Genomic DNA, 23166 nt, shown 5'->3' on the forward strand with positions numbered 1-23166 from the left:
TGGTTGAGAACACAGTTCTGGTGTAGCTACTGCTCAGGCACTTTCCACAGTTCTGACTGTGGAGGTCCCTACCTTGCTCCAGAGCAGATGCTCCAATCTCTGGCCCAAGACTAAAATGCCCCTGCAGCCACACTGCCAGGTTACCAAACAATGGAGGTCTTTGTATATGCCCAGATTAAAAATGGCAACCTACATTTTTAATGCAGTGTTGCGTGTCTGGGAAAATGCCTGCAGCTATTCCTGGTGTCTTTCCCTTACAGCATCTCCAAGTGTCTCCCCAAGTTAGCTCAAGGGCTTGGGAGAAACAAAGTGCTGTCCCTCAGCCTGGGCTGCTCAGATCCTCAGTGGAAAGGTAAGTCACCGAGGGAGGCTCTCTGCTTCCCTTGCATACTGGAGCTTCACTCTTATCAGCTAGTTGCCATCACAGGGGCTATTTGCCATTCTCCGCTGCAGGATCTAAGATGTCCTTCATGATTGTGGTAGATTCCCATTTTCCTTATTAAATTAAAGCTCACAGATTTGATTTTATGCACTATTTTGCTATTTCCAAGTGGTAGAGGCATGCTAAAAACCTCTAATCCACCATCTGGAAAGAAGGACCCAATTTTCCTTCTTTATTCTTATCATGCAATTATTCTCTCTCTGAATAATGTGTCTCCAGAAAATTGTCTGGTCTGATAGTAAATCGAAACCAAATTTCTGGGAATTTTAGATTCTTTCATCTGCCCTCTAACTCTCACTCTCTCAAATATACCTCTTGACTGTCTCTTGAATTAATCCTTTCTGGTCACTGTCATTGATCTGACTCAGGCTTCATTAACTTCTCCCAAATTCATATATTAGTTTCCTGACTAATCTTTCTGACTCCAATGCATAATCTGCTCCTAAAACACATACCTTATTATGTTGATCTCTTGCTCAAAATATTCAGCAGATTAAAGTTTAAAGTTATTTATATGCGTTCACATTTTTCAAGATTTTACTCTTACAGTGTGCACAGCCTCCTGTTCAGCATCTCTTTTTATAAACTTCCAACTTCTATTTTGTGTGCTCCCACAGCTCTGAATTATTTGAAGTATGAAAAGCAAGGTGTGTCTGTTTGTCAAATTCAAGAGCTTTTATGTGAGTCCTAAACTGTTCTCTGCTGTAGTGTCAGTTTCCTCCCACCTTATTCTGGATATGTTTGAAATAATGGATTAATTCGATTATTGATCCTGTATTTCAGAGATGAATTAGACATAAATCAAAGAAAAATGTGGAGCTCTTGAAACCTGAGATTGATGGTGTTGGCTTCTATATTTCTACATTTGATGGCTGGGTGCTGTTTCATTAGGGCCAGGGTAGAAGATAAAATTCCTATAAATTCATGGAAGCTTTGTGGTTGGTACTTAGAGAAGTACTGTGTAAGTCCTCCAGATTCTGCAGTGAAAAGCAACAAACACTTAAGAATTGGATGGATCAGTCTTTCAAATGAAGGACTTTGCTTTAATATGCTTGTATCACTTACCTCCCATTATTACCCACAATCCTGATGTCAGATTTTTATTTTTGTTTAAGTGAAGCAAAAAAGAACTTTTGGAAAAAGTACATTTACAAAAGACCAAGGAAACAGAATTCTCTCTATGTAAAGAAGAGTGAGTTTTTCACATTCTGTGAGCTCTCACTTTGGGCATTGCATACACACATACACACACACACGCACACACACACACACACCATGAAATCTAAGAAGGTTTAGAACAATATTAAAAATTAAATGTATGAGGTAATGCAGAGTGAAGGGAAGAATGTCAACCTACTTCTGAACAGACAGTGTAAACTTTTTGTGTAATAGTTGCATACCCTAGTAACTAAAGGATCTGATATAATGAGATACAGCTGAGCTTTGGGAAATTTTATCAACCATTTGATTTCAAGTGATTTCATTCTATCCTTAACTTGCAGCACTGGGCTTTGATATTGAAATAGGAAGAGAACACTGAATCAGATATTTTTTTTCTTGTACTTGCCATTTCAAAGAACTTTACAATTATTATTGCCTTCCCATGAAGTAGGTAGAATTAAAGTGCTTTGATTTTTTTGTTGTTAGAGTGTGAGAAATCCTAACATGACAAATGACTTGGAGGTTAGAATAGAGCAAATCAGGACCAGAACAATGTTTAAAATTTACTGATTTCAAAGATTGTAGTCACTCAACTGATCTATTTTCAGTTTAGAAAATAGTGGGATGTTACACTTTGTAATACTAAGCACTGTATGGTTGAAGTTAAAGCCCAGTAAGTCCATTTTACCAGGAGTCAGGAATTTTGAGTTCTAATCCTTGCTACAACTCTTAATTTTAGTTAACACTAATATTTCTGGAATTCAGTTGTATTATCTGTAAAATAAAACAATTCAGATGAATTTGACTAGAGTGAGGAGACTGCTTCATATGACTTCCTAACCTCAGGGTTTTTCAGTCAGTGTTTCTTATTGAGGTATAAAAGACCATGTTCCAGAGATGGCACCTCACAGAGACATGAAATTGATAGGATTTAATATTCATATTCTTCTCAACAGACCTTTTATTTAAATAGGCAAAATAGATACTCTCTTTTACAAAGGGGACACTGGGGCACTCAGTGGAGTGCCTTTGTTCAGTACCATAGCTACTCACCTCCATTCAGAATGCCTTCTTTCATGAACTTGCTGGGGAATTGTTGTTTTTTAGTTTATTAATATTATTAAATAACCACTGTCTTTAAAGTCTTATAATTTCTCAAACATATTGCTTTCTTTCCATACCAAATTAAGTATCATATTTTAGGACAGAATTATAAATTCCAAGTGAAAACACTTCTACAGAGTTAACAACAAACTCTGATTAATATTAGCTAATTCATCAAACATTTACTATTCTAGGTTGATTATATATATATATATATAAATTCATTTAATTCTCATAACAGTTCTTTGAGGGTAGGTTCCACTATCATCTCATCTCCACTGGTGAAGAAACAGATGCATTCTGAGTTTAGTAATCTATCTATGGTCGATCAGCTAGTTATGGCCAGAGCCAGGATTTGGAAAGCTGGTTTCAAAATCCAAATTCTTGACTAGTTTACTAAATTGTTGGACCATACACTCTAAATACAACTGGCATTCTAAGCCATGTTGATATGGGCATATAACCTATAGAAAGGAACAGAAATATAGAATATACACATGTGCTTTAGAATCTTATTAGATAAATGTGCAGAGGAAGATTATATTTAGGGCAAATGCATAACAAGGGTGGGACTCTCAATGGTTTGGGATTCACAGCAAGAGTTAAGAGTTTTATGTCTATCTTTGTTTGCTTAAAGCAAACTGAAATTCCATTTTGATTTTATTTTCTTCAAGAGCCAACTACTTTACACATATAAAGTTCCAACTGAATAGCAATGCAGCATCTAGATTTGATAGCTGTCCTCCTCTGTAAAAAGAAAAGAACGAGAATCAGTCTAGCTATTGCATCTTAGGAATTACTTCCGTGAAGATGCCTTCCATGATTCTCCTAGTCTGAGCCAGATAGCCCTCTGTGCTTCCATGGCAACTCACACTTTCTTCTGCCTTGACCCTACACAGGGTCCTGTAATCACCTGTGAGCTTGTCTGTATTCTTCACTGGTCTGACAGACCTTTCAAGATCAGGGATTTTCTTATCCATCTTTGCAGCTTTCTGCCCAGCAGATGCTTTGTACTTAATAGACATTCAGTAGGCATTTGCTAAAGTAAAATAAAGGTGTCTTCAAACTAGCTTAGGAAATATTCTGGAGAGACAATGTGTTATTTATTTTTTTATTCTACCCACGTCTGACTGTTAGTTCTTCTATGGAGTACCTACTTTATGCAAGCAAATACTTGTTCTCTATCTACCTATTATGTTTATATATTGTAGCTATTTAACATGTGTTGTTGATTGAATTACATTGGAATAGGTCCTTTAGATGTATTAGAGAACTGGAAGTAGTTTAGTCAGTTTAGGCTAGGCTGTGTTTGGTAACAAACCAACCTCTAAATTTCAGTGTCTTAACACATAAAGGTTATTTCTCAGTCATGCAGAATGGTCCAGTGGTGACTCTCAAACAGCAGCTCCTTTCCAAATGGCGACTGCAAGTTTCAGGCCTCTGGCAGCTTGTAGCTCTGCCATGGAAAACAGGAGGCTTCCAGATCACCATGACAGGAAAAGAGAGAGCTGGGCACTGGCTCCCAAATGCGTTGGTCTGAAAATGACACACTTTGCTTCTGCTCACAGCCCTTTGGCAAAAACTAGTCACCTGGTCCTGTCTACTGCAGGGGGGCAGGGGAGTGTGGGAGAGGAGAACCATAAATAGCCTGCCTGGAGGTAGAGAGAGTGAAGTAGGGTCTAATCATCAATACTGACATTTAGTTTTCGGTCTGGTGCGTTCATTTTTAGAAAGAGAAGCTAATTAATTTCTAAAAATAGTTAATACATTATTTCAAAGGAATTCATATAAAGATCAGAGAATACTACCCCACCCCCTTTATTGACAGGACCCAAATTAATAAATGGTTTTTAAAAAAGTTAGCAAATAAGAGAAACATCAAAATAATTTTTCAGCCCAAGATCTTTTCTTTAAAGATAATATTAATAAATCAATTGATAATACCCTTATTAATTCTTAGCCCCCAGTGAAGTCTCTGTCCAAGCAGAGATTCCTGACCTCTCTGATTTTCAAAGTCCTGAGAGAGTTAGGCAAAAAGAGGCATATCCATGGGCAAGTGCTGTCAAAATAACTTGGTCACTGCTTCTCCCTTGAGGTGACCTGCCTTCCTTTTTTGTACCTGAGAAAATTGCCAGTAAAAATGACTGATTGAAGCTTTAACTTTCTCATTTGGAGTGCTGAGAGGTGAGCTTTCTTAACTCTAGAATACAAATATTAAAGCAGCCCACAAAAAGCTCTTCTAACACAGTGTAAGATATCAGGATGAAAGAATTGATAAGCTCCAATTCTTTTTATTTGTTGTATCTTCTATCAATTATCTAGTGGATCTGGAATGGCCTAAGCCTTGCTATATCAAGCTTTTCTAGAGACAGATTCTAATCTGCATGCTTATGGTTAAAGGAGGCATTGTAATATGGCACATGACCAAGAAAGCACCCTCAGCCTGTTTCTTCAGGAGTGTCAGAGTTCTCAGGACATCACGGGGAAGCACAGGTATGGATTCATCAAGTCATTTAACTTCCTAGAGTATATGGATGAACTGTATTTCCAAGATCTCAGTGGGATTAAGTCCCTGAATTGTGAGCAGCAATGGCAATTAGGAGAGGATGTATTTAAGAATTCCCTTTTCTCCATAGCCTCATCAGCATCTGTTGTTTTTTGACTTTTTATTAACAGCCCTTCTGGCTGGTGTGAGATAGTATCGCAGGAACAGAAAACCAAACACTGGACATTCTCACTTATAAGTGGGAGCTAATCACTGAGCACACATGGACATAAATGTGGGAACAACTGACACTGTGTACCTCTAAAGGGTGCAGGCGGGGATGGGTCAAAAAACTACATATTAGGTACTATGCTTACTACTTGAGTGATGGGATCCATACTCCAAACCTCAACATTATGCAATATTCCCATCTAACAAATCTGTATATGTACCCTCTGTATCTAAAATAAAAGTTTGAATACATTGTAAAAATATTTTATTTTTATAAATGAGGGGGTGCTCTGGCACCCCAGTGAGTCAGTTGAGTGCACTGACTGATGGGGGCCTTGCCATCCTTAGGATGTGGCTTCCAAGACCACACTGGCCATCAGTATCTAGCTGGAAAAAGGAGAAATAGCATAGAAGGTGGCAGCTGAGCGGCTTTTATGGGCCTGGCTTGCCAATCATCGGCCAGAATTCATTCACACGCCACATCTTCCCATAAGGAAGGCTGGCAAATGTGGCCAAGGGTGTGCCAGGAAGAAGACAACTAGCAGGCTTATTTAATTTCTACAGCAGCTCTATGACCAGAGACTGCTATGATACTCACTTTACAGGTGAGTAAACTGAGTAGCCAAAAAATTTCTTTGCTAAAGATCTGCTTGAAAGTGGCAGAGCCTGGAAGTGAACCCGAGTCGTCTTACCAGAGCTGGGCTTAACCACACTCTGCAACATCCTTTCTTTACACAATGCAGTATATTACATGCACTGTGCTCCACTTTGTTTCTTTTCGCCTTAAGAATATTTAGTGGTGATTGTTCAATCCTAGTACAGTTGACTTTCCTTATCCACTAGGGTAAGTTCCAAGACTCCCAGTGGATGCCTGAAACCATGGATAGTACAGAATACTGTATGTGTTATGCACAAATTTCTTTTTCTTTCTTCACAATGTCATAGATTTGTTCTTACCATGTATCTTAGCAACTGCAGCATGTGATTTTTTTTCTTAAGTTGAGGGCTTTCACCTTTTTACTGAAAGGAAGCACTATGACTTCTTTTCGGCACATCCGGTTAGCCGGTATTCCTACTCTTGCACTTTGGTGCCATTATTAAGTAAAATAAGGCTTACTTGAACCAAGCACTGTAATATCAAGACAGTTGATTTGATAACCCAGAGGGTTTCTAAGTGACTAGTGGGCAGGGAGCATTAACAGCATGGGTACTCTGGACAAAGGGATGATTCATGTCCGGGGTGGAAGAGGGACCATGCAAGATTTCACAATGCTACTCAGAATGCTTTGTGATATAAGAATTATGAATTGTTTATTTCTGCAATTTTCTATGTAATGTTTTCAGATCATGGTTGGCTATGGGTAGCTGAATCTGTAGAAAGCAAAACTGGACAAGTGGGAACTGTTGTACACATATGGCTGTTTCTTGACAGCTATTTATTACTCAATTATAGAAATCATAATTAACTACTCTTATCATGACTATTATTTTGTTTCTATCTTTCCCCCATTATAATCTGTAATACAGAGAATATCCCCCAAAATTTGCATCTTCACACGTTGAGTATAAGAAGACAAATAATTTTCACACATGTGAAAGTACATGAAGACAAATTTTTAGAATTAAAATTGCTTGGATAAATGGTATATATATAATTACTTTTGATAGACATTTTCAAATTTCCTTAACATGAGATCATTTTTTACAACAAAAAGTACCATTTATACACCTATGAACAAAGTATACAAATTTCCCTACACTCACGCCACACACAGGTTTTCAGCTTTTTTGATTTTTGCTAAATTGTAAGTAAAAACGGAATTTGATAGTCTTAATTTTTTCTCTTAATACAATAGATCTTTGAGGAGTCCGGCTCCTGCTAAAAAACTTTTGTGTGATTTTTCAGACCTGACCATAGGCAATTTAAAAGGCTTTGCCTGGCAGGCCTCCTGGAGGAAGCTGCCCTCCCCACACAGACTTAGTGCATAGCCCCTGAACAGCAGCCTCTGTGAGGACTTGCAGTTAAGGACCTAGGAACCCTTGGCCTACCATGCCCTTATGCAAAGCTGCCTTTCTAGCTCAGGCTCTTTCATTCAGAAGCCTCTTTATCTGGGGGTTTCGCTGAGATATTCCTCACGTGTCTCTGTTGATATCTCCTTTTGGGCAAGTGGGGTATGGGGAGATTTGAAGACACTTTTCTCCACTCTGACTCAGTACTACAGTACCCAGTACTTTTCCATACTTCATCATTGCCCTCCTTTAGCTCTGAGTCCATAAAGCTGCAGGAGACTTTTTTTGGGGGCTTCCTCTGTGCTGATCCACGTTGCTCTACTGACACTGTTCCATGGAAGGAAATGAGCCAGGAGGAGCCAATGTTTTCTCTGGCTTAGTCCCTTTGCAGGAAGTAATTAAAAGCTTCACTGTAACTTTCATTTTGGCTTATTGTTTTCATTGGCTACCCTGACATCTGGCAGCTGAGCTGAGCTCCTGACAATGTTAAAATGTCTACATATATGTAAATTTATTGCAGCTTTTCTGTCTTTTTAGTGATAGTTCATATCTTTTGCTTACTGTTTTTTTGGGATATTATTCAATATTTTCTTTTCCATTTAAAGATTTATGTATTAAGAAAATTAATCATTTACCTATATGTAATATTTTTGTTTTGGCCAATTTTTCATTTGTCTTTTGATTTTAATTATAGTGTTTTTTTTTTTTTCTATGAATTAAATTCTTAAAAATTGTGGTTGAATTTATGATTCTCATAAGAATGCCTGTTTTTCTTTTTTGGGTCAGGTTAAGAAAAAGTCTTTTTTTTCAGTGAGATTATAAGACATCTCTATCTGTATTTTCTTTGTACAATTAAATCTTTGTGTTATTTGCAATTTTGTTGTAAAAAGGGTAAGATAATTCAATTGCAGTTTTCTTTATGGCTATTCAATTATCCCAACATCATTTAGTGAATAATTTGTTTTCCTCCATTCTTATAAAATGTCACCTTTTTGATATAAAGAATTCCTATATGTACTTGAGTTTATTTCTAGTTAGTCCATAGATCTGTATTTTTACAATTTATTACTGCAGATTTAAATTTACTGTGGATTTAAACATGTTTTGCTGTCATATTGTAGACATTCCTTTTATTTAAAAATTTCTTGGCTGATTTATTTTTATACAGGTGTTTTAAAAATCAGCTTGAGAAGTTAATAAGCCTATTTTTCTAGAGATCACATACATTCATATATATGTTTCATATTCATATATGTATGTATACACACATTTATATACATATATACATATGTATACACACATACACATATGTATGCGTGCATAAACATGCACATGCACATACATATGCATGTATGTATATATGCATGAATACATATACATATGCATGCATGTATATATACACATATGTATGTGTTTGTGTATACATATGTATATGTATGTATAAACACATGTATGTATATACACATATACATGTATATATACACATATACACATATATATACACATATACACGTATGTATATACGTATATACACGTATATAGGCATATATACGTGTGTATATACGTATATACACACACGTATATGCGCCTATATACGTGTGTATATATACGTATATACACATGTATATGCATATATACACATTATGAGTATATATGTATAAACATAAATATAGGGAGAATTGTTTCTTTTCACCCTAGAACAAGTTATACTTTTATTTGGGTATTTAGTTTCTTCAGGTGCATTTAAAAGTATTCATCTAAATTTCTTTTTAAGCTTATAACACATTTGATCTTTTTTTACTGTTTTCTTTTTATAGTTTCTTTTATAGTTTCTAATTGCTTGTTATTATATATATATATGTTACTCATTTTGTATATCAACTTTATTCACAGTCACATTAAAATAATTATTAAGAGGCTGTGAGTTTGGTGGTAAAGATCTCACAGGCCAGCACCAGACAACCTGGTTTTGAATCCCAGCCTTGACACATTCTGGTTGTTATTGTGAGGATTAAAGGGAATTCATGAAACATGCTTAGAATAGTACTTAATCAACTTAATCATTATCTCAGATAGCAGTATAAAAGTTTTCCTTGCTTCAGAAAAAGAATTTTGATGCTTTCCTGTTTCTATACTTGGAAAAAGTTCAAATAGAAGCTTTTCTTTTTGTTAATATAAAGATAAATAAGACACATTTCCTCCCCTTCAGGGAAATTGTTTTCTTGTTTGCCAACTCATTTGAATCTCTAAATTTTTTTTGATAAAAGAATAATTAGACTAAATTCATAAATAAGGAATCTGCTACTCAGGCTGAAAAAGTGTCTAAGCCAACATTTAAATCCAATTCCCCTTACTCTACAGACAACAATCAAGATTTAAACATGTTAGCACAGTAAAAGCAAAGCTTCAGGGACCTCTTTATTTGAAAATACATGTTCTTTTAACTAAAAAAATAATTACTCTTCCACATTTATTGATTAATGGAATGTTTTCCTGTAATACACTTCAGTATAAAATGTATACAATGTACTCTACACTTAAGTTCAATTTATGGAACGCTCCAAAGAAAAGAAGAGCAAAAATAGTACTGTTGATTTTCACCCTTTGCTTTTGTGTCTTCCTTTATTATCTTTTCTCCATCATGCTCTTCTATAGTTCTGACCTATAGAATATCTGGCCTGGGTTACTACCAACCTTGTAAAATGGTTTCTTGGACTCTAGTTTTGTTCCTTCTCCACACAACCACTAGAGCAATATATTGCAAATTTGATCATGTTTCCTTTCCAGCCTGAAATCTTGCTGGAATGCTCTAGCAATACGAAATGCTCAAGGTTGTCTTGAGCATACAAAGTACCTTTTCATCTTGTGAGTTTGGCCTCTTCACTGCCATACCCCATTTTCCTTCCTCTCACTTAAAAAAAAAAAAATCTGGCTCACGATTTACTTTCTCCAGCAAGCTCTCTTTTTACTTCTGAGCCCGTAAGTGTTTGGGTGCTCCACTACAATGCACCCATCATATCCTTCCATGCCTTCCTCTCTCCTAGCACTTACAAATGTTCATCCTCATGTGCCTGCAATTTCTTAGGATTGCTGGTACCTTGGACTTGTGACCATATCTTTATTTATCTTAATATCGCCAGTACCTTGCATTTGCTTCATACACAGGAGGTTCTCCAAAGATATTGGTTCAGTGAAAGAATAAGCAAATGCCACCCATTCCCCCTGGCCATCTTTTTAGAAAGTCTGTTAGGAAAGCATTTTTTACTGGGAAAATTTTGAGAAGATTAGGCCAAAGACCTAAATCCGGGAGTCCTGGCTATTAATCCCAGTTCTGTCTTTAACTCACTCTGGAGCCCTGGCCTATCTCTGCAGGTCTGTGGATACATAAGTCTCCAGGTAGATTCGGGGTCTGTATTAGCACAGTATTGAGGTAAAATTAAGCCTCTTAAATCTCAGATTTTGGAAACTCAACCCTGCCTTACCTCACAGCAGACCCAGCCTTACCCTCTATAATCTCCTCCTTTAACATTGTTTTCCCGGACATTTCCATTAGGATTTTTGAGCAACTGACTTAACATAGAAGGTGTGGTGTGGCAGGCTTATATCTGGAAATGTGTAGATGATAAGTTTGAAACTGGTATTAAGTCACATACACACCGATTGCCCTTGCATTAGCTCTGTGGCTATCCTGCCTCCTTTCCCAGATGTTAAGAATAAAGCACTGGTTGGTAATTAGTGAAGGAAAGGAAAAGCTGCCCCTTTAGCAAAATAATATTGAGGAGGTATGCCAGCAGGGGGTTATCTTTCCCACTACAGGATTGCTTGGTTGTTTTTTGGGTATTTGGTGGCCTCCAAGTCCAGACCACCATGGAAAATCCAGAGCACCCCTTCTGCCTAAGCAGTGAGGGACCCAGAGGGAGAAAGGACTGATTAAACATCCTGTCTGAAGACCATCTAAAAGAGAACAGGGGGCATAGGATTGGAGCGAATGACTTGGGGGGCAGGGGAAAGTCTTGAGGAGGGAGTCTCTTTTCATCAAGGGGGAGCTTGCAGGCCCCATGCCATAAGTAGGATTGTGACTTCTTGGCAGGGAATCCCTAGATCTCTGCTCCCCTTGTAGGCTCTGTATTGCTTAACCTGCAGTAAATAACCACCTGAACATTTTTAAAGATTCTATATGTATTCTTCATGGCTTAAATAGGAAGTAGATGCCGTTTTCTTTCCCTTCTCCAGCTGATGTCTAGATTACTTCACAGTGGAAGGCAGGATGGTGAAACATCCTGCATGGGACCCCATCACACCACAGTAGACAGACCATTCTTGTTGCTGTCATGACATTGCTCCCTTCTACAATAAGAGGTTTAGTGCCCAGGTAACACAATGGGCACCAGCAGAAGGCTGGCAACCACAGGATTTTTTTTTTTTTTTTTTTTTTTGAGACAGAGTCTTGCTCTGTCGCCCAGGCTGGAGTGCAGTGGCATGATCTCAGCTCACTGCAACCTCTACCTCCTGGGTTCAAGCGATTCTCCAGGCTTAGTCTCCCGAGTAGCTGGGATTACAGGTGTGCACTACCACCCCCGGCTAATTTTTTGTATTTTTAGTAGAGACTGGCTTTCACCATGTTGGCGAGGCTGGTCTCAAGCTCCTGGCCTCACGTGATCCACTCGCCTTGGCTTCCCAAAGTGCTGGGATTACAGGTGTGAGCCGCAGCACCCAGCCCATAGCACGGTTTTGATTCAACTTAAGAAATTAGCTACCTCCTCTCCCATCTTCCTCCTATGTTAAGCATTTGCAGTTGCTTCAGGCTTTAAAATTGTTATTTCATTAAATTATGCTTTCATGTATTGTTATAGGAGATATAACAATATATTGCCATGACAAAGCTATTTTATTGTTACAGAAGTTAGGAATATATAAAGAAAAAAAAACAATAAAAAAGATAAAATCCTCTGGAACACTCAATTCCAGCTTCTTGTTTTTTACTTGAGATGAGGGAACGTTGAGGCTAATTTTTCTCTTTATGTCAATTTAAAGTATAGTTTTCCTAGGACAGTTTTTCTATTTCTTGATCATAGGATCTACAGTGACTACAATAACCAAGTGCTACAAAAACGCTGTGACGAGGAATCTGAACAACAGAGATTTGAGGGAAACAAAACACTTTCGACGAAGGTCCTGCTGCTTGTCTTCAGCTTGGTACCAATTAGAGCTTCACTGGAGGTGAAAAGTGAGTGTCTGAGAATCTTAATTCAGCCTTTTTTGATGTTTAGACAGAACCTACACACAGCTTCTACCATCTTCCAACTGCCATGAATCTGTTGTTTCTTTCCTTCTATTTTCCCTTTTCTTGATATTGCTTGTAGCTAATGAATATCTTAAAGCAAACACTTTTATAATTACCACCCAGGCCAAGAGATAGAACTTTGCCAGCCACCCCAAAAGCACCTGGGTGAGTCTTGTTTCTGTTATAATCACTCCTATCAGAGTAAACAGCATCCTGACTTTTATAGTAATGGCATCCTTGCATTTTATTTTTTCAGTTTTGTCACCCATGAGTGTGCCCTTATACATTATATTTTAGTTGTTTCCATTTTAAAAATTGATGCTTTTAGATTTTCTTTTAATCTACTCATCCCCTCCCTCCGCCCATCATCTTATCCCCCTTTTTTTCCTTACAATTTACTCATTTAAAGACCCAGACAATCTGAACTGTCAGATTCCTATTGTTTGGATTTTGTTAACTGTGTATTCTTGGATAAGTTATCCTGTTCTTTTCTCCTATTTCCTGAAAAATGGCAGCACCATTCAGAGGGTTAATCAGACTAATTTTGGCATTTTGGCAAGACTATAGGAGACATGTAAACATGTCTCTGTTTTTGTTGGCAAACATTAATGCCCAATATATTGATCCATCAATTCGTTGAATGGAGGGCAGTACCAAATAGTGATATTCTATTATTTAAAAAATTATTACCAGAATTTAAAAATAAACAGATACTTTCCTTCATCTATTATGGTTACCCAATGATATAGTCATATAGGAAAGGCAGAATAAATGCTTGATTCTTTCTCTTTATTTACCATCCTCTGAAGGTGATCAATTATTTTTTGATAATTAAATATTAATGAATAGATTTATTCACATTTGTTGATTTTAATCCATTGGCAATTATTTTCCTTATAGAGGCTAAATTTTTCCATCTTTGGCCATTAGAAATCTCATAAAGTTGGCTTGCCCTATTGACATGTTTCTAGTAGTCATGATTTATTTTTTGACAAGGTATTTCAGGCTCACCTTGTACATATTCTGGCCCAGACATGGAAGCAGACATTTCTCCAGGAAGCCCTTGGTTCTTTTAACAGGAAGAAGCAATTCAAAACCACAGTCTTGTTGCTAATAATGCTATTCTAACATCAGAGTACTCCTCCTTTTGTTGTTTCTGAATGGTTATAGACAACGTTTTTGGTTATAGACAACGTTTTTCGTTATAGACAACATTTGTGTCTCCTTAGAATTTATATGTTGAAATCCTATCCCCTAAGGTGATAGGAGGTGATGATGCCTTTGGGAGGTGATTAGGTCACCCTAATCATTTAGGAAGGGAAGCCCTCATAAACAGGATTAGTGGCCTTAGAAAAGAGGTCCCAGGAGTACCCTAACCCCTTTCACCATGTGAAGACATAGTGAGAGGATGGTTTTCTATGAATCAGGAAGCAGACCCTCATGAGACACTGGATCTGCCTTGATTTTGGACTTTTCAGCCTCCAGAATTGTGTGAAACAAATTTCTTTGTTCATAAGCCACCCAGTTAACAGTGTTATGTTACAGCAGCCCAAACAGCCTAAGACAAGTAGTGTTCAAAACCTGGTGGCTTGCTTTCTGAGACTTCCTTCATCTATGTCCTCCTTTTACCTTTCATGTGGACATTGACTTTCCATCATCTCTCTTTTCCTTGTCCTATTCACTTTTTATTTTATTTTTTAAAAATTGACACTGTATTAGTTTGTTCTCACGCTGCTAATAAAGACATAACTGAGACTGAGTAATTATAAAGGAAAGAGGTTTAATTGACTCATAGTTCCACATGGCTGGGGAGGCCTCACAATCATGGTGGAAGGCAAGGAGGAGAAAAGGCATGTCTTACACGGCAGCAGGCAAGAGGGTATGTGCAGGGGAACTCCTGTTTATAAAACTATCAGATTTCATGAGTCTTATTTAGTGCCATGGGGGCAGTATGGGGGAACCACCCCCATGATTCAACTGTCTCCACCTGGCGCCGCCATTGACACATGGGGATTATTACAATTCAAGGTGAGATTTGTGGGGGGACACAGCTAAACCATATCAGACACATAATAATTGTACGTATTTTTTGGATAGGATGTTTCCATACATATAATGTATAGTGATCAGATCAGAGTAATAAGCGTATCCTTCGTCTGAAACATTTAACGTATAACACTGTTGGATGACTCTAGTTAAAAATAACATATAGTTTCAAATAGGAGGGTAATACTAGAGTCATCCAATGGTGTTATAGGACATTAGAAATTATTCCTCCTACCTAGCTATAATTTTGTATAATTTAACAGATCTCTGCCTCTCTCTCCCTTCCTCTTCCCCTTCCCCTTCTCAGCCTCTAGTATCCTCTGTTCTACTTTATTCTTCTATGAGAGCAACTTTTTTTTTTTTTAACTTCAACATATGAGTAAGAACATGTGATATTTAACTTTCTGTTCCTGGTTTATTTCCCTTAACATAATGTCCTCCAGTTCCATCCATTTTGCAACCAATGACAGAATTTCATTCTTTTTTATGGCTAAATAATATTCCATTGGGTATATACCACATTTTCCTTATCCATTCATCTGTTGTTGGACACCTAGGTTGATTCCACATCTTGGCTATTATGAATAATGCTGCAATAAAAATGGGGATGCAGAGGTCTTTTTGATATTCTGATTTCTTTTCTTTGGATGAATGCCCAGTAATGGTATTGCTGGGTCATGTGGTAGTCCTATTTCATTTTTTTTTTTTTTTGAGACAGAGTCTTGCTCTGTTGCCCAGGCTGGAGTGCAGTGGTGCGATCTTGGCTCACTGCAACCTCTGCCTCCTGGGTTCAAGCGATTCTCCTGCCTCAGTCTCCTGAGTAGCTAGGATTACAGATGTGCATCACCATGCCAGGCTAATTTTTATATTTTTAGCAGAGATGGGGTTTCACCATGTTGGTCAGAATGGTCTTGAACTCCTGACCTTGTGATCCACCCACCTAGGCCTCCCAAAGTGCTGGGATTAAAGACATAAGCCACTGCACCCAGCCTTATTTGTAGTTTTTTGAGGAACCTCCCTACTGTTCTCTATGGTGCCTATACTTGTTCACATTCCCAACAGCAGTGTATGAGTTCCCTTTTCTCGACATTCTTACCAAAATTTATTATTATTATTTTTAAATAACAGCCATCCTAACTGGGATGAGATGATATCTCATTGTGTTTTTGGTTTGCATTTCCCTGATGATTAGTTATGTTGAGTATTTTTTTTTCTTTTTGGTCATTTGTCTTTTGAGAAATGTCTATTCAGATTGCTTCCTAATTTTTTAATTGAATTTTCTTGCTTGCTTGCTTGCTTGCTTGCTTGCCTGCTTTCTTGATTTTTTGCTTTTAAGATGTTCGGGTTTCTTATATATTCTGGATGTTGATCCTTTGTCAAATGAATGATTTACAAATACTTTCTCCCATTCTGTAGGCTGTTTCTTCACCCTGTTGATTGTTTCCTTTGCTGTGCAGAAGCTTTTTAGTTTGATATAATCTCATTTGTTTATTTTTGCTTTTGTTGCCTGTGCTTCTGAGGTTTTATTCATAGAATCTTTTCCCAGAGCAATGTCCTAAGTATTTTCCTTTTTTTTTTTTTTTCTAGTAGTTTTAAAGTTTTGGTTCTTACATTTAGGTCTTTGCTCTCTTTTGAGTTGATTTTCGTAAAGTGTGAGTGATTGAGATCTAGTTTCATTTTTCAGTTTCTTAAAGTCTAGACTGCTCTGCAGTCTAGATTTCTAGCTCCTTCAGTTCCTAATGCAGTTTTTTTATACTCTCCTGCTATTAGTTTGGGCAAAATCCCTCCTAGTTTCAGATGCTGTTTTCTAATGTACTTGTCATGATTTCCAGTGAACATCTGTTGGCTATTACTGGTGTCTTTTGTCCTTGGGGCCCTCAGACATCCTGTTGTTTCCCTTTACTTTCTTCCGCACATACACTGATACCATGTAGATCTTATGGTTATCGGTGAATTGTCTCCACTTGTTTTATTATTTGGGGTTTGTGTGGATGCCCTTGTCACTTAGCTTGTTATAAATACTATCCATTTTTTTTCTTTATTGTCTAGCTAACTTATGTAAATATTTAAAGACATCCAAAAACTATGTGGCCATTATTTTCCCAGAATTTTTTATTTTTTCTGATAGACTGACACTAGAGAACAAAATAGCTTTACTAAATTTTCTTCTTCACCTCTAGGCATTTTAGATTTTCTTGTGTGAGTTCACTAGTTAGTTTTATGACTAATATAACTCATATTCAGTTGATGTGTAATCATAGCATAAGTGATAAGACTGTCACCTGAAAATAAGATTTGAAAATAGTCACAGGATCATCATCAGCCACACTACTGTTATATGTCATCCTTTATTTTCTTTCATTTTCCTTTTCTATATTCTCTCTCTTTCTGTAGATAATACCTTACTACTTTCAGGGTTATATGCATCTTTCAATATTTTGTAGCTTTCTTGGAGCCAGCTTATAAAGAACCACTGATGTCCTTCTTGTACTTCTCCCTAACTCAGCCCAAGTCTGTCTTAATATAGAAGGGTAAGATGCCTCATGATATAAAATAGTGACCTAATTTAATTAGTCTTGTCAAAGGTAAATAAAATTAGTTTGGCCCATGAATATAAACATCCATTTGTTCTGCTGTATCCCCCCACTTTAGATTTTAACTTTAGTCATTAAATGTTTGGGGCTATGTAGGAGAATTATGGCCAAAGGAACTATAGGAGGACGGTTGTTTCTCTTAGTTTCTGTAAATAACCTGACAAGGAGACTTGTTGCTTAATCAGTGCCTAATATGTTCATTTGGAATGCTCCAATGCTCAATTTTATTAGGCATCTACAAAACAAAGCTTGTTTCCCCCCTGCATTGCAATTAGTGTAATTAGAGTTTATGTGTGAAGTATCATATATCTATTGTGTGGTGGTTTTTTAGAGGAACAAGGATACTGAATTACCTTACTAAGATTGCTGGTTTCAATAATTAGTTTATGGAGAATATTTAATAATACTTCACACGAGAAAATTAAAGTTCCAATCAAAGTAGCATTGAGTTATCTGGAGCAAGAATATGTTCTTGCTTATATTCTGCCCGCTCCTCAGAGCTGACTGCACATAATGTTTATATATAAAATGAAAAACAGAGCATAGCAAGATTATAAGATGAATTTTTTTTCCCTGAGAGGCTAACAAGAATAAGTGTCATGCCATGCTAGCCCAGGGAACAAAATTGTAAATACAGAGAGGAGAAACAGGTTTTCAAGTTTATATTGCTGCTATCTTACGGGGATCAGCTTCTGTTGTTACCATAATGTGTTATGTTGAAAGGGGCAGACACGGTTGCTGAGTGGCTGGTTGGAGAGTCCCTGAGAGATTACCCAAGAAACTCAGTTGCGGCACGTGGTGGAGCAGCCTCTCAGGTGAAAATAAATTCACACTGCACGTGGATATCTGCCTGGGAGTACTTGTCATTCACTGCATAGTTCATCTCTATGAAGAACCTGCGTATTTCTTTGTCAAATGAGAAACTGCAAAATGGCAAGTGTTATACTTTGTACAGACCAGCCCTGAGTTTTCTAAACCTGTTGTAAAGGTGGAGTCTGTAGATGGTGGCGAGAAACTGTTTTGGCCTTTTAGGACATCACATTTTTCAGCTGTAGTCAAAGTTCATCTGAAGTGGCTCCTGTTACTCCAGACCAATTTTTAATTGATATGCTCAGTCTATTTTCTCTTTACCCCCAAGCACCACTATTGATCACAAGCTAAGTTGGATCAAGTTGCTATGTGTAACACTGCCAGCTCTGTGAGCAGACTTTTTTCTTTTTCCAATCTTGGTGCCCTTAATTATACTCAACCAAATTACTGTTTAAGGAAATTCATATAAAGTTAGAGTTCATATGTAGATTTCTTGTTGTGAATTTCAGAGAGACAAGTGCTTTGTAGGGACATGCATGTAATTCAGGTGAGTGGGTAGTAGAAGATACTGTAGAGGCAGTTAGTGGTGTGTGTTGTATGGAGAAGTGTGAAGTTTCCTGTATTTTTTCATTCTGTCTAATATGAGAGATGTGGTATGACTTAGAAGTTTCAATGATGACAGCTTTCAGTCTGTTCCTAGGAAAGGTTAAATCTTAGTTATTAATACTTTTACCACTTACCATGACAAATATTGTACCCCAGGCTGCCTCTCTGACAACTTACATTGTTTTTCTGCTTTGTTCCATGGAAGAGGCAGCTGTGTAATTTCGGTAGCTTTTTCTGTGAGAAATGATTTTCATTAAACATAGACAGAATTAGTTACAACTTCCACTTGGAAGGTTAAGACCTAGTGCTCTATTTAGTCTTTTTGAAAGAGCTTAGGCACTAATTATTTCTAACTAGTGTGTTTCCTCTGGATTACTGACCGCTTTGAAAGAGTTCAAGTTGTTTCATTAGGTCCGTTCAGTCGTCTTGGAACTGCCAGTAACAAGATCAGGTTGCAGAGGATGTTGTCATTAAAACCTTTAAAAAAAAGTCTATGTAAAACTCTTTAAATTCGACTTCCAGAACTATGCGTTTCTACTGTGACTATGGATCAGAATTTTTTTTTTGAAGAAAATGAATAAGATCATGTTTATGACACACAGCTCTTCTAAGGAGATTCATGGCTATATTAAACACAGTTCTGGACCTATTTTTTCACGGATTTAAACTACAAATGCTATCAAAATTATATTCCACTCCAGGAGATTACTGATTTCTACCATCAGTTTCTAGTTTCCTAGGCATTTGAACTAGTAGTCACACAGAACGGGCAACTTGTATTGTCAATTGAATTGTAACACTTGGATGGCTCCCAGGTGATGTCACAAATAACATTTATTTTCAAAATTACTTAGAAAAAACAGAAAAAAAGCACACAAAATATATTCTTCAGTGATCTTTGCATCCCTTTCAATATGTGTCTCAAAGGTAACTTTTAGGTAGCCTGAGATTGGCAGCGTCGGGCAGCAGCCAGCTGTGGTCCCAAGCTTCCTTGGAATGCCATGTCTCCGATGAGAAAACATGTGATGAAGACATTGAGCTGCCAAACAAAGTATTTGTGCCTCCCTGTACCCCTCACCTTACATGTTGTAGAGCTGTTGGTAGTAAGTGGTTGTTCAGCTAGGGACCACATTTTCCAGGATCCCCTTGCAATTAGATGCAGCCATTGATTGGATTGTAGCAAATGGAATGTGATTTGAAGTGCTGCACATCACTTTCAATTCTGGCTCATAAAAGCCTTCTACCTACTCTTCCCCAGGCTCTGTTTTCTAACAGTTGGTTGGTATGAGGATAACACTGGGATGAACTAGCAGGCTTTGTGGTGAAGATGGCAGAATTCATGTAATCCTGGGTTTCTGTGGCTTCATGGAAGGGCTACCTCTCCTGTTCTCCTGCTCAGTATTATTTGATGAACAAGAAAGAAATTTTAATTATGTTGGGTCTTGGAAATTCTTGGTTTTATTAGTCACGGCAGCTAGGGCTTCTCTAATAAAGCATGTAAATTCACCCAGGCATTATACATATGCCAAACCTAATAACTGAGTTAAAGGCAGGGACAAGGCTGGCAAAGAGGATAGAGAGGTTGTTTTGGGTCCTAAATTGCCGAAGGTATCCCATGGAAGGAGGATACATTTAATTTATTTTATTTTCAAGATAAGAAAAGCTATTGCAAACTAATTGTACAGTTGGAACCAGTGTAAGACTCAAACATATTCATTCTCCCGTTCACTCAACAAGGGCCCACTATGTGTAAACATTGTCCTACACATTAGGGTTAACTCAGTAAAAAAGAGAGACCAAAAAATTTCAGACTACCTCTTACCATTCCTGCCTCTACTCATCTTTAGTTGCAGTTGTCATAAATCAGTAAAATCCCACTGTTGTTTGCTCTTATAATTTTAGTTCTTTATGAATGTTTAATTGGTTTAGTTAGGGACCTTTCTGGAGGTGAAGAGAATACTCTACCTGGATTTCTTTGGTCTTTGCTCCTAACTCTAGCTCGGTTCTGACAGCAGAACAAATGGGAATATGTATGAGGCTATAAAATAACTGACGTTAAAATGTGCAGGATTCAACGTTTAAAAGGAATTGCATTTCAATACAAGATAAAATTTGCAGATTACCTTGAGAATTGGGGCTATTACTGTTATATTGAAAGAATTCCAAAATGCTAAATTACCTGACAAGTTGTGCTGTTTTATGTGCTGTATTGATATTAGAGTATTTGTTTGGCTTCAGTGGGTACTTAATTATTTGTTTCTTCTTGACAGTGTGCTAGAATTAATTCATAGCATTATGAAGCTGCTTTAAACATCCTCTTGAGGGCAAGGGCTGGCTCGGAACCTAGTGCATCATAGGAATGTTTTGCTCTCAGTTTAAATATATTAAATTAGAGTCATGAATTACTTCTAAAAAGAGACAAATCATAGCTTTTTTTATCCTAAAGGAGATTTTTAGGGATGCAAGATGAAAGGAGCTAAACATAACTATAGGAAATGGAGGCTGTTATCAGCATCTAGCTTAGGATGGCGAGCCAAGCATGGCTCTCAGGTGCAACTCACATGGAGACGTGGCTCTCAGGTAAAAGATACAACTCAGGTACACTTCTTTATCCATTAGCAATTAACAATGAGCAATTATTTCCTACACAGAGCAAAAGTTCTAGCCAAAGGTCCTTTTCTTCGAAAATACAGAAGGCACAGAATGAGTTTACCTAAAGGCTTTATAAATCCTTAGTTTGTAAAAATTCTCTATTAGTGGTAGCCTATAGATAAGTGTGAATTAATATAACATTTACATATTAATTAACATAATAATGATAAGATCTTTAGTAAGTACAAAAACTCAGAAAATTAACCATTAATGTTCTTTATTTGGTACTCAAAGGCCAAAATTTTGTGTTTTTCTTTTACCTGGAAGGTAACTGAGAATATCAGATAAAATAATTTTTTAAAAATATTCATGAGAGTGTTTTTTTCTCTGCAGAAAATGGAGTTCTAAGTATAGTAACAATTTAGTTACATAGTTACTTCCATTTCCAGAGATGTGATCCTTTGCTGTGTAAGTTATGTTTTCTAATAAAAATGATACAGATGGGTCAGATTTCATGGTTAGATATTAGAAAGCCTAAATGAAATCCCATTCTTTCATGGAATTATGTTAGCAATTTTGGAAGGTAATAGTGGTCTTACTAATTCATTTTTTTGATGAACTCTTAAGATACATTTAAATGTGATTCTCATATTGATACTTGCCTTTTTACTAGAGGTTTCAGTAGAGGATAGTTTTGTGGAAAAATATCTGTCTGAATAAGCCATCCTGTGATTTTTCTAAAGTGGGTAATCAGGAGACACTTGGAAAGGAAAGAAAAGGAAAGAATAGGTACTCCTACATTCATATGGGGCATGAGTGTTTTTCTTTTCCCGTTATAATAGCAGCTGAAACAAGCTGGTTATAGGTCAAAGAGAATAACAGAAAAATGTTACAAAATTGATGCAAAAATTTAGCCTTTTCTTCATGTTCCTTAGTAATGCCAGCATTCTATATATTTTATGGTGATAACAATGGCGGTGCCAGTGATTATCCGTGGAACTGGACCGATGATCCCCCATGTGTGCTCCATTTTCCTACCTTGTTCATTCTGTGAGAAGTGGATTTGGACAACATGTTGAAAGTATCCAAACGCAGCCCTTTCTGTGTTTGGAGGAAGTAATTTTACATTAGTTCTTTAGTTTTTTTTTTTTTAGTTCTGTAGCTTTATATATCGTTGAAAAGAACATCTTTTGAAAGTAGAGAGTCCATTCAGCAATCTAGCATCTGTGTTTGGTTGCCACGAAGGCCTAACCATTGCCATTTCAGGGGGGAGCACAGGGGGCAGGGGGATGGGGAGAGAAAAGAAAAAGCAAGCACATAGACTGCATATTCAAATCAGCACCTCAAATTCATGATGCTAACTTACATGATATTTTCCTGGTTTGAAAGTTCTTATTGTAAGGAAATAAACACAAAACTTGTCAAATAATATAGTATTAAAATACTAAAAATTAGTGGTATTAAACTGAAACTAATAATTTTAGACTAAAACACCATTTTAGTGTGACCAGTCATGTTTTGCTTAGAGTGAATGTAATTTCTTAAATGTTCATACAAAAGTTGGTGACTTTTATATGTTTCTCAATAGTAAATTTGAGAAGAAAATCAGTTTTATCTTCTGGTATTATGTAGAAATTAGGCAACAGGATTTTAATAAATGAGATAAGTAGTTTTTTAATGATAAACTTTGATGAAATTTTTCAAATGTTCTTTCAGTTTCAGATATTGCAAGAAAAGAAGCAAAAAAAAAAAAAAAAGCACAGTGTGAAAAATAGTGATGTGAACCTGACAGTCACTATAG

The 23166-nt window shown here is 36.9% G+C and overlaps 1 long non-coding RNA gene across 1 annotated transcript, besides 5 other annotated features; it reads left to right on the forward strand.

Moving 5' to 3' along the window:
* Positions 1–262: 262 nt before the first annotated feature.
* LINC00378 (long intergenic non-protein coding RNA 378) lies at positions 263–23114 on the forward strand. The gene is made up of 5 exons (NR_047003.1): positions 263–352; positions 12509–12660; positions 18081–18172; positions 21220–21371; positions 23082–23114. It is a non-coding gene; the product is annotated as a long intergenic non-protein coding RNA 378 (long non-coding RNA).
* Positions 17869–21370: a meiotic recombination region, noted in NCBI's record as "this region was identified as a recombination hotspot within the HapMap CEU and YRI populations". NCBI's record gives the evidence for it as "EXISTENCE:nucleotide sequencing assay evidence [ECO:0000219][PMID:20981099]".
* Positions 18068–18083: a nucleotide motif, noted in NCBI's record as "nucleotide motif; similarity to the predicted 16-mer PRDM9 C-type binding motif, CCNCNNTNNNCNTNNC".
* Positions 18607–20771: a meiotic recombination region, noted in NCBI's record as "meiotic double-strand break mapped by DNA meiotic recombinase 1 chromatin immunoprecipitation followed by single-stranded DNA enrichment and sequencing in the germ cells of some male individuals with the PRDM9 A/A, PRDM9 A/B and PRDM9 A/C genotypes". NCBI's record gives the evidence for it as "EXISTENCE:chromatin immunoprecipitation-seq evidence [ECO:0000229][PMID:25395542]".
* Positions 19095–20494: a meiotic recombination region, noted in NCBI's record as "crossovers mapped in sperm cells of males of European ancestry". NCBI's record gives the evidence for it as "EXISTENCE:DNA detection assay evidence [ECO:0005519][PMID:18650392]".
* Positions 19834–19846: a nucleotide motif, noted in NCBI's record as "nucleotide motif; similarity, but not exact identity (7/8 nucleotides), to the predicted 13-mer PRDM9 A binding motif (LD hotspot motif), CCNCCNTNNCCNC, found close to the center of the hotspot". NCBI's record gives the evidence for it as "COORDINATES:motif similarity evidence [ECO:0000028][PMID:18650392, PMID:19165926]".
* Positions 23115–23166: the final 52 nt, after the last annotated feature.

This window comes from Homo sapiens, chromosome 13 (genome assembly GCF_000001405.40).
Source record: "Homo sapiens chromosome 13, GRCh38.p14 Primary Assembly".
NCBI classification, from domain to species: Eukaryota; Metazoa; Chordata; class Mammalia; order Primates; family Hominidae; genus Homo; species Homo sapiens.